The sequence below is a fragment of the Homo sapiens genome, chromosome 1 (assembly GCF_000001405.40).
Source record: "Homo sapiens chromosome 1, GRCh38.p14 Primary Assembly".
Taxonomy (NCBI): Eukaryota; Metazoa; Chordata; class Mammalia; order Primates; family Hominidae; genus Homo; species Homo sapiens.
Window position 1 is genome coordinate 100,252,029 of NC_000001.11, and position 12,713 is coordinate 100,264,741.

The following is a 12,713-nucleotide window of genomic DNA, read 5'->3' on the forward strand; positions in this document are numbered from 1 at the left end:
GAGGCAAGAGAGATTTTTTTTGTGGTGATGAAAATTTTCTGTTGCCACTTTGTGGCAATGATTGCATAATTCTGTACATTTACTAAAAATCTTTGAATTATACACTTAAGACAGGTGAATTTTATGGTATGTAAAGTACACCATAATAAAGCTGTTAAAACTGTGTTATATGAGACAATAATGAACATATGAATAAAAACAAATACATAAGTCTGGACGTGGTGGCTCATGCCTGTAATCCCAGCACATTGGGAGGCGAAGGCGGGTAGATCACGAGGTCAGCAGTTCGAGACCAGCCTGGCCAACATAGTGAAACCCCATCTCTACTAAAAATACAAAAATTAGCCAGGCATGGTGGCATGCGCCTGTAGTCCCAGATACTCGGGAGGCTGAGGCAGGAGAATTGCTTAAATCTGGGAGGCGAAGGTTGTGGTGAGCCAAGATTGTGCCATTGCACTCCAGCCTGGGCAATAGAGCAAGATTCCATCTCAAAACAATACAAAACAAATACATATGTCACATGATAATATAACAAAAACCCTTGAACCTATCACTCAACTTTAAGAAATAGAACCTATGGAAAAACACATTATGTAGGTTGTCTAAAAATAAAATACATTTTAAACTAAAAAAAAAAGAAATAGAATCTTTCCCGTTAGTGAAGATCACTGTCTGCTCCTTCCTTTACCTCTCCCCTTCATAAGCGTTATCTTGAATTGTGTTTTTCATTCCTTTGTTTATTTTAGAATTGACCACATATACATATATGGATGGATGCCTAGTAACATATTATTTACTTTTGCTTGTTTTTGAGTCTCATAAAAATGGTATTAAACTGTATGTATCTTTCTGCAACTAGTTTTTCTGACATGATTTATTTATCCATTCTCTACTGAGTGGATATTTGTGCTATTTCTAGTTATTTGCTATTACCGTCAGTGCTGTTATGAACATTCTTGATCATTTCTCCTGGTGCATGTTCTAGGGTTTCTTTAGCACAGCGCTTCTCAGACATTAATGAGCATTCATAGCAACCGGGGATCTTGTTAACAAGCAGATTCTAATTCAGTAAATGTGGGTAAACCTGCCATTCTGCATTTCTAACAAGCTCCAGGTGATACAAATGCTATTGGTTAGCCAACTACACTTTGATTAGTAGGCTTAGGATAAATACCTAAAAGTTGAATTGTTGAAACAGGGGTTATGTTTATCTTCAAGTTTACTCTAGATAATACGAGATTGTTTTCCAATGTGATTGTACAAACTACATGCCTAGCTGCTGTATGTTTATTGTTTCTCATTTGATATTGTCAGATTTAAAATTTTCCCCCAATTTAGTAATTATAAAATGATGTTATAATCTTAATTTGAATTTCCCTGATTATTAATAAAGTTGAGCATGTTTCTACATGTTTATTAGCCATTCTTAGAGTGCTTGCTCAATTGTTGATATTTCTAAGATGGTTGTCTATGTTACTTTCTATAAATGTGGGACAAAGTAAGATGAAACAATTTATCCTTAAGAAAATGACTGTGGGACAGGTACGGCGGCTCTGTAATCCCAGCACTTTGGAAGGCCAAGGCGGGAGGATCGCGTGAGCTCAGGAGTTTGTGACCAGCTTGGGCAACATGGCAAAACCCCATCTCTACAAAAAATTAGCTGGGGGTAGTGGCGTGTGCCTGTAGTCCTACAGACTGAGGCGAGAGGATCACTTGAGCTCTGGAGCTCGAGGCTGCAGTAAGTTGTGATTGCATCACTGCACTCCAGCCTAGACAACAGGGCAAGACCCTGCCTAAAAGAAAAAAAAAATAGAACATGACTGTGGCTTCGTTAAATTGACACTCTGCTCTATTCAATGGAATTCTCAGAAAGAGTGACGTTTACCAAAATGCAAGATGCTAATTAATGAAGGTCTTAAATTACTTGTTTGGCTCCTTGGTGTGCCTGACTGGTGTAGAAAAATCTGAGGATGACCTTCTGAATTCTGCTCTGAATTCTAAGTGGTCAGGAGATAAATGTAGCCTAGAGTCAGCCCCTGCATTGACCATTACCCCAAAATATACCAACACATGCTTGCCAGAGCTACTGTAGTTTAACTATTTATGAATTTTGAGGACTTTTAATAGCCTAAGTATTTAAATATCATTACTTATTTAGAAACTGTTCCAATATATGCTTAGTCAACTATGTTAATATAGAGTTGTATGTATTGTATATAATACAGATATATATTTTGTTTAATATGGATAGTTTGTAGTGATTCATTAAGAGTTTGAATTATATATAGATCTGCCTCTTTTTTGCCTATCATGGGCAAGTTTCAATTTTCTTGTGTACAAGATGAGATTGACATTGATAATACCTTCCCTACCATCTTCAATATACCTTCAGGGATATTTTGAAGATCAAAGGAATTCTAGTATCTTGATACTACTTTATATGATGAAAGAGTCTATATAAATGTAGTATTAATATATTGGATGACTTATCAAGAAGACAAATAACAAATGTTGGCAAGGGTATAGGGAAAATGAAACCCTTGTAAACTGTTGGTGGCAATATTTGTAAATTGGTACAGTTTCATGGCTGAACAATACTTCGTTGTATGGATATACTTTATTTTTGTGAAAATAGAAGTTCCTCAAGAAATTAAAAGTAGAACTACCATATGATTCAGCAATTTCTCTGTGAGCATAAACCCAAGGGAAATGAAATCAATATCTTGTAAAGATATCTGTAGCATTATTCACAATAGCTAAGATATGCAAACAACCCGTGTCTATTGATGAATACATCAACAAAAAAAGTGTTGTTTATGTAAAAACAAAAAAAATTTAAAATAAAATAAAATGCCTATCCATGCTTTTTGCCCATTTTCCCTCTATAGTGTATCTTTTTCTAGTTGATTACTTTAGGAGTTCCTTATATATTCTGGATTCTTCTAATCCTTTTAATTTACATGTGTTGCTAATACTTTCTTCCAGTTTGTGACATGTCTTTGCTTGCTTTTTTGAAGGAGTCCTTTGATGCACAGAGTTCTTAATTTTAGTGTAGTTAAAACATATTAATCTTTTCTTTTTTTGAGGCAAGGCTTCACTTTGTCACCTAGACTGGAATGCAGAGTCGCAATTACAGCTCACTGCAGCCTTGAACTCGTGGGCTCCAACAGTCCTCTCACCTCTGCCTTCCTAGTAGCTGAGACTACAGGTGCACACCACTACATGCAGCTAAGTTTTTTTTTTAATCGTTTTGTAGAGACGCGGTCTCACCATGTTGCCCAGGCTGGTCTCAAACTTGAGGGCTCAAGCGATCCTCTCACCTTGGCCTCCCAAAATCCTGGAATTTCAGGCTTGAGCCACCGTTCACAGGCCAACAGTATTTATCTTTTGTTTATAATTAGTGATTTTTGTGTCTTGAGAAGTACATCCCACCTGGCGCAGTAGCTGATGCCTGTAATCCCAACACTCTGGGAGGCCGAAGCAGGGGGATTGCTTGAGCCCAGGAGTTCAAGACCAGCCTGGGCAGCATGGCAAGACCCCATCTCTACAAAAAGTACAAAAATTAGCTAGGTGTGGTGGCACATGACTGTAGTCTCAGCTGCTCTGGAGGCTGAGGTGGGAGGATCGCTTGAGCTTGGGTGGTTGAAGCTACACTGAGCCATGATTGCGCTACTGCACTCCAGCCTATGTGACAGAGCAAGACCTTGTCTCCAAAAATAAAAAAAGAAAAAAGAAATACTTTACAATCCAAAGGTCCTAAAGGTAGTCTGCTATATTTCCTTCACATGTCTTGTCTTTTGCAATTTTAAAAATTGAGATAGCAATCACATACGTTAAATTCACCCTTTTAAAGTGTAAAATTTAGTGATTTTTGGTATATTCAAAGTTCTGCAACTATTACCACTAATTCCAGAACATTTACATCACCCCTTGCCAAAATAACCCTCACACCCATTAGCAATCACTCCGCATTCTGAATGTACCCCCACAGCCCTTGACAACCACTAATCTAAACTATCTCCATAAATCTGTCTATTATAGACATTCATATACCTGGAATGATACAATATGTGGTCTCTTGTGACTGGCTTCTTCAGTTAGCTTCTTTCACTTATGTTCTCAAGGTTCATCTATATTACAGCGTGTATGGTATCAGTACTTCATTCTTTTTCATGGCTGAACAATACTTCATTGTATGGATATACTTTACGTTTTGTTTATATACACATCAGTTGATAGACATTGTTAAAATAAAAATAAAAATGGGCGAGGTGTGGTGGCTCACACCTGTAATCTCAGCAGTTTGGGAGGCTGAGGCAGGAGAATCACTTGATCCCAGGAGTTGGAGACCAGCCTGAGCAACATGGCGAAACCCTGTCTCTACCAAAAATTTAAAAATTAGCAAGGCATGGTGGCATGTGCCTGTAGTCCCAGCTACTCGGGAGGCAGAGGTGGGAGGATTGCGTGAGCCCCAGGAGGTCAAGGTTGCAGTGAGCCGTGATCACATCACTGCACTCCAGCCTGGGTAACACAGTGAGACCCTGTCTCAATAAATAAATAAAAATAGAGCCACAGTTTAGATTTCTCAAGGCCAAACTGCCCATAGCAATGTAACTAAGACTTAATCCATCCTGATTTCCCCTAACCCTAAAGATAAACAAAACATAAAAGTAAGCTTTTTGTCTTTATCAATATGATTTCATGAAATTAAACGAATCAGCTATTGATAAATCAGCTTAAATAGCTCAACATGTCTTTAAAAAAATGACAGCCAGTCATGAAAAAAGTTACAATGTTGCTTCCTGTATGCTCTATAAACTGCTGTAATTGCTATAAAATGAGACCTGGCTGGGCTAGGTGGTTCATGCTTGTAATCTCAGCAATTTTGGAGGCCAAAACAAGAATATTACTTGAGGCCAGGAGTTCAAGACTAGCCTGGGCCACATAGCAAGACCCTGTTTCTATTTATATAAATTAAAAAACATAATTTTTTTAAATTGAGACTTCATGCTGTTTTCCAATTTGAGGTCTTTCCAGTTTGCAAACTGTTTCGTATGCACAATGAACTCTTAAAGTTATAACTTGATTTAATTTTGACATTTGTGTTGTTTCCACTTTTTGGATCATGAATAATGCTGCCATGAACATTCATGTACAAGCTTGAGTGTGGACATGTTTTCATTTCTCTTCTGTGAATATCTAGGAGTAGAATTGCTATTTATAGGTTACATGGTAATACTATGTTTAACTTTTTGAGGAACTGCCAGAATATTTTCAAAAGGGGCTCCAACAACATTACATTTGTACTAGCGCAGCGTATGAAGTTTCTGGTTTCTTCACATCCTTACCAACAGTGGTTACTGCCTGTCTTTTTGTACAGCCATCCTAGTGGGTGAGAAGTAGTATTTCATGGTGGTTTTGATTTGCATTCCCTTAATAATTAATGACACCGAGCAACTTTTCATGTGCTTATTGGCCATTTGTATATCTTTGCAGAAATGCCTATTCAAATCCTTTGCTTGTGTCTTTTTGTTTATAACTTTTTTTTTTTTGAGACAGGGTGGTGGTCTTGCTCTGTCATCCAGGCTGGAGTGCAGTGTTGGAATCATAGCTCACTGCAGCTTCCAGCTTGTGGGCTCATGCTCAAGCAATCCTCCTGCCTCAGCCTCTCAAGTAGCTGGGACGATAGGCACATGCTAACATGCCTGGCTAATTTATTATTTTTTGTAGAGGCAGGGTCTCACTATGTTGCCCAGGCTGGTCTTGAACTTCTGGGCCCAAATGACCGGCGCACCCAGGCTTTTGCTTAACTTCAAAGAGTTCTTTATATATTCTGGATCCTAGACTCTTACCAAATAAATGATTTATTTATTTATTTATTGTTTAAAATTTTTTGTAGAGACGGGGTCTCTCTGTGGTGCTCAGGCTGGTCTCAAACTCTTGACCCCAAGAGATTCTCCTGCCCTCGCCTCCCAAAGTGCCAGGAATACAGGGATGCATTACCACACCTGGCCCACATACATGATTTTTAAATATTTTCTCCCATTCTGTGGTTTGTCCTCCCACTTTCTTCATAGTGGTGTATGAATTTGGTGTAAACAAAAATAAAATAAATTTGGTGTAAACAAAAATAAAATAAAATAGTCTCCAAAGCACAAAAGTTTTTAATTTTAATTAAATTGAAGTTCAATTTATCTAATTTTCTCTTTAGCTGCTTGGGCTTTTGGTATCATAATACAGAAAAAATGGGCTAATCCAAAGTCATGACAAAATACATCTAAGTTTTATTCTGAGAGTTTTTTTTTTTTTTTATTATTGTTATACTTTAAGCTTTAGGGTACATGTGCACACCGTGCAGGTTTGTTACATATGTATACATGTGTCATGTTGGTGTGCTGCACCCATTAACTAGTCATTTAGCATTAGGTATATCTCCTAATGCTATCCCTCCCCACTCCCCGCACCCCACAACAGTCCCCAGTATGTGATGTTCCCCTTCCTGTGTCCATGTGTTCTCATTGTTCAATTCCCACCTATGAGTGAGAACATGCAGTGTTTGGTTTTTTGTCCTTGCGATAGTTTGCTGAGAATGACGGTTTCCAGCTTCATCCACGTCCTTACAAAGGACATGAACTCATCATTTTTTATGGCTGCATAGTATTCCATGGTGCACATGTGCCACATTTTCTTAATCCAGTCTATCATTGTCGGACATTTCGGTTGGTTCCAAGTCTTTGCTATTGTGAATAGTGCTGCAATAAACACACATGTACATATGTCTTTATAGCAGCATGATTTATAATCCTTTGGGTATATACCCAGTAATGGGATGGCTGGGTCAAATGGTATTTCTAGTTCTAGATCCCTGAGGAATCGCCACACTGACTTCCACAATGGTTGAACTAGTTTACACTCCCACCAACAGTGTAAAAGTGTTCCTATATCTCCACATCCTCTCCAGCACCTGTTGTTTCCTGACTTTTTAATGATTGCCATTTTAACTGGTGTGAGATGGTATCTCATTGTGGTTTTGATCTGCATTTCTCTGATGGCCAGTGATGATGAGCATTTTTCCATGTGTTTTTTGGCTGCATAAATATCTTCTTTTGAGAAGTGTCTGTTCATATCCTTCACCCACTTTTTGATGGGGTTGTTTGTTTTTTTCTTAAAATTTGTTTGAGTTCATTGTAGATTCTGGATATTAGCCCTTTGTCAGATGAGTAGGTTGCAAAAATTTTCTCCCATTCTGTAGGTTGCCTGTTCACTCTGATGGTGGTTTCTTTTGCTGTGCAGAAGCTCTTTAGTTTAATTAGATCCCACTTGTCAATTTTAGCTTTTGTTGCCATTGCTTTTGGTGTTTTAGACATGAAGTCCTTGCCCATGCCTATGTCCTGAATGGTATTGCCTAGGTTTTCTTCTAGGTTTTTATGGTTTTAGGTCTAACATGTAAGTCTTTAATCCATTTGAATTAATTTTTGTATAAGGTGTAAGGAAGGGATCCAGTTTCAGCTTTCTCCATATGGCTAGCCAGTTTTCCCAGCACCATTTATTAAATAGGGAATCCTTTCCCCATTGCTTGTTTTACTCAGGTTTGTCAAAGATTGGATAGTTGTAGATATGCGGCATTATTTCTGAGGGCTCTGTTCTGTTCCATTGGTCTATATCTCTGTTTTGGTACCAGTACCATGCTGTTTTGGTTACTGTAGCCTTGTAATATAGTTTGAAGTCAGGTAGCGTGATGCCTCCAGCTTTGTTCTTTTGGTTTAGGATTGACTTGGCAATGTGGGCTCTTTTTTGGTTCCATATGAACTTTAAAGTAGTTTTTTTCCAATTCTGTGAAGAAAGGCATTGGTAGTTTGATGGGGATGGCATTGAATCTATAAATTACCTTGGGCAGTGTGGCCATTTTCACGATATTGATTCTTCCTACCCATGAGCTTGGAATGTTCTTCCATTTGTTTGTATCCTCTTTTATTTCATTGAGCAGTGGTTTGTAGTTCTTGAAAAGGTCCTTCACATCCCTTGTAAGTTGGATTCCTAGGTATTTTATTCTTTTTGAAGCAATTGTGAATGGGAGTTCCCTCATGATTTGGCTCTCTGTTTGTCTGTTATTGGTGTGTAAGAATGCTTGTGATGTTTGCACATTGATTTTGTATCCTGAGACTTTGCTGAAGTTGCTTATCAGCTTAAGGAGATTTTGGGTTGAGACTATAGGGTTTTCTAGATATACAATCATGTCATCTGCAAACAGGGACAATTTGACTTCCTCTTTTCCTAATTGAATGCCCTTTATTTCCTTCTGCTGCCTGATTGCCCTGGCCAGAACTTCCAACACTATGTTGAATAGGAGTGATGAGAGAGGGCATCCCTGTCTTGTGCCAGTTTTCAAAGGGAATGCTTCCAGTTTTTGCCCATTCAGTATGATATTGGCTGTGGGTTTGTCATAGATAGCTCTTATTATTTTGAAATACGTCCCATCAATACCTAATTTATTGAGAGTTTTTAGCATGAAGAGTTGTTGAATTTTGTCAAAGGCCTTTTCTGCATCTATTGAGATAATCATGTGGTTTTTGTCTTTGGTTCTGTTTATATGCTGGATTACGTTTATTGATTTTCGTATGTTGAACCAGCCTTGTATCCCAGGGATGAAGCTCACTTGATCATGGTGGATAAGCTTTTTGATGTGCCGCTGGATTCGGTTTGCCGGTATTTTATTGAGGATTTTTGCGTCAATGTTCATCAAGGATATTGGTCTAAAGTTCTCTTTTTTTGTTGTGTCTCTGCCAGGCTTTGGTATCAGGATGATGCTGGCCTCATAAAATGAGTTAGGGAGGATTCCCTCTTTTTCTATTGATTGGAATAGTTTCAGAAGGAATGGTACCAGGTCCTCCTTGTACCTCTGGTAGAATTCGGCTGTGAATCCATCTGGTCCTGGACTCTTTTTGGTTGGTAAGCTATTAATTATTGCCTCAATTTCAGAGCCTGTTATTGGTCTATTCAGAGATTCAACTTCTTCCTGGTTTAGTCTTGGGAGAGTGTATGTGTCGAGGAATTTATCCATTTCTTCTAGATTCCTTTTGGGTTTTCTATGTAGACAGTCTCATCATTAAGATGATATCAAAATTAAGGTGTTGTTTTTGCCTGTCCTATCTTATGTCTTTTTTCTTTCTTGTAAAATCTGTCTAGGACTTCTACCATCTGTTTAAAAAAAGCCATAATAGTGGGCATTCTTATCTTGTTAATAATATTAAAAGGAAGGAGCCTAATATTTTACTACTAAACATGATGTTTGCTTGACTCCCAGTAGGGCCGAAAAAGAAAATGAAGTTTGCTGTTGAATTTTTTAGATGCCATTTGTTATGGTTTGGCTCTGTGTCCCCACCCAAATCTCATGTCAAGTTGTAATCCCCAAGTGTCAGGGGAGGGACCTGGTAGGAGGTGATTGGATCATGGAGAAATCCCTTGCTGTTCTTGTGATAGTGTGTTCTCACAAGATCTGGTTGTTGAAAAGTGTGTGGCACTTAAAAGTGTGTACCTCGCCCCCATCTCCTCTCTCTTTCTCTCCTGCCACCATGTAAGTACATGCCTTGCTTCCCCTTTGCCTTCTGCTATGATTATAAGTTTTCTGAGGCCTCCCCAGCCATGCAGAACTGTGAGTGAATGAAATCTCTTTTCTTTATAAATTACCCAGTTTCAGGTAGTTCTTTATAGCCATGTGAAATGGACTAATATACCATTAATAACACTAAGAGAGTTTTATCCCTAGCTTTGCTTGATTTTGTTTCATCATAAATGGATCTTTTTTTTTTTCCAATCCTTTTCCTGCATCTATTGGTGTGATCTTAGGTTTTTGATACATCAGCATATTTTTCCAATTTTAAATTGATCTTCAATCCCAACTTGGTTATAATGTGTTGTATTTTACAAACATTGTTGAATTTGATTGTAAATATTTTGACTGAGACTGGTGCATCTAAATTATAAATAAAGTTGACCTATAATTTTTCTTCCCCAAGTTGTCTTTGGTTTTGGCATCAAGATCATACTAGCCTTATAAAATGTACTGGGGAGGTCTATTTCATGAGTTCTGGAGGGAAACATGTATAATAACTGAAGGTTTTATATATATATATATCTGTGTATATATATCTGTATATATATCTTATGTATATATATATCTGTATATATATGTACATGGCCAATTATGTATGTATATAATTGCCCTTAGATCAAGTTTATTAGTTGTTTTATTAGTTGTCTTGTCTTTCCTAAATTTTCATTTGCTTGATCTATAAATAAGTGAGCTAAAACTTCACAATATGGTAGTGGATTCACCAGTTTCTTCAATTTCTGACTTACATACTTTGAAGCTATTTATTACACACAAAGGTTTGAATAACTATTTTCCTGGGGAACACAATTTTTTATTATTTTGTAGTGACTCTTTTTGGTCAATGATAATGCTTTTTGTATTAAAGTCTAATTTAATACAAAATACAGGTATACCACGAATATAGGTATACCACCTTTCTTTTTGTTGGCATTTATACGGCATCTCTTTTCCATCTTTTTATTTTCAACTCCTCACGATCCTTAATGTTTTTGGTGCATCTCTTGTAAATGGCACTTTTTTTTTTCAACCAATCTCTGGCTTTTTTATTTTTTAAACTTGTGGGTATGTGTCATCCAACAATCTCTGGCTTTTCATCAGAAAGTTTATTTACTTTCATTGTTACTATTGATATATATGAATTTATTTCTATTTTGTTACTTTAGTGCTTTCTTTTCATCCTCTTTTTTTTTAATGCTCATTATGATATTAGGTTTTTGTTCATTTAATCTGTGTTTTCCTGTTAGTCCATTTTTTCCTTTGGCTGGATTAGAAGTTATACACTTTCATGGTTATCCTTGAAACTTTACCTTGCGTACTTAAAGACTTGAATTATGTCAACTCTATTAATTGATATCTTAACTACAAAGAGAGACCTTAGAATTCTTTAACTTTGTCATCCACCTCTCGTCTTACATACTTTTGTTGTCTGGTGTTATTTCATGTAATGTTTGCTCAGATTCAACTATGTGTTTACAATTTCTTTGCCCATCACTTCTATCTCAGACTCTCCTTCTGAAGTAATTTTTCTTTCTGAAGTACATCTTTTAGAACTTCCTTTAAAAAGTGTAGGTAGATGTTAAATTCAGTTTCCATGTACCTGGAAATTATTTTATTTCTATACTTTAATTCTTGAAAGATAATTTTGCTGAGTGCCCAATTCTAGGTTGATGGTTATTTTCTGCCAGCATTCTGAATGTACAATTCTACTCTTTCTGACTTCCACTGTTTTATTGAGGAATCAATTATTGGTCTGTCATTTGTCATTAAAATAACCAAGGATTTAACCCAACTCTGCCACTTTATTGTTCTGTCATCTTGGCAGGTCACTTCCAATTCCCTAGGCCTCAGTCCTTCATTAACCAAAGAGAGATAAGAGCACCAACCTCACAGCTTTGTTATGAACATTAAGAGAGATCATGTATATGAAAGCACTACACAAGTGCTTATTATTACCACAATTAGCTCATCTCTACATTATATTACTGTCTTGTTCTTTTCCCCCTACCACTGGAAATAGTTAGAATGGGGCAAATGGGTCATAGCTAGGAATTCATAGCCAAAATTAGAAATAAAAAGGCGAGGCTTCTTCTGGGAATGTTAAGTTTCTGTAATAAGAATCTAAGATGTGTTGCGGGAAGTCAGGGACCCCGAACGGAGGGACCGGCTGGAGCCACGGCAGAGGAACATAAATTGTGAAGATTTCATGGACATTTATCAGTTCCCAAATAATACTTTTATAATTTCTTATGCCTGTCTTTACTTTAATCTCTTAATCCTGTTATCTTCGTAAGCTGAGGATGTACATCACCTCAGGACCACTGTGATAATTGTGTTAACTGTACAAGTTGATTGTAAAACATCTGTGTTTGAACAATATGAAATCAGTGCACCTTGAATAAGAACAGAATAACAGCAATTTTTAGGGAACAAAGGAAGACAACCATAAGGTCTGACTGCCTGTGGGGTTGGGCAAAAACAGCCATATTTTTCTTCTTGCAGAGAGCCTATAAATGGATGTGCAAGTAGGAGAGATATTGCTAAATTCTTTTACTAGCAAGGAATATAAATATTAATACCCTGGGAAAGGAATGCATTCCTGTGGGGAGGTCTATAAACAGCCGCTCTGGGAATGTCTGTCTTACGCGGTTGAGATAAGGACTGAGATACGCCCTGGTCTCCTGCAGTACCCTCAGGCTTACTAGGGTGGGGAAAAACTCCGCCCTGGTAAATTTGTGGTCACACCAGTTCTCTGCTCTTGAACCCTGTTTTCTGTTATTTAAGATGTTTATTAAGACAATATGTGCACTGCTGAACATAGACCCTTATCAGTAGCTCTGCTTTTGCCCTTTGCCTTGTGATCTTTGTTGGACTCTTATAAGTAGTTCTGCTTTTGCCCTTTGTCCTGTTCCCTCAGAAGCATGTGATCTTTGTTAGACCCTTACTAGTAGTAAGGTCTTTTTGCCTTTTGAAGCATGTGATCTTTGTACTTTTGTACCTACTCCCTGTTCTTACACCCCCTCCCCTTTTGAAACCCTTAATAAAAACTTGCTGGTCTGAGACTCAGGCGGGCATCATGGTCCTACCGATATGTGATGTCACC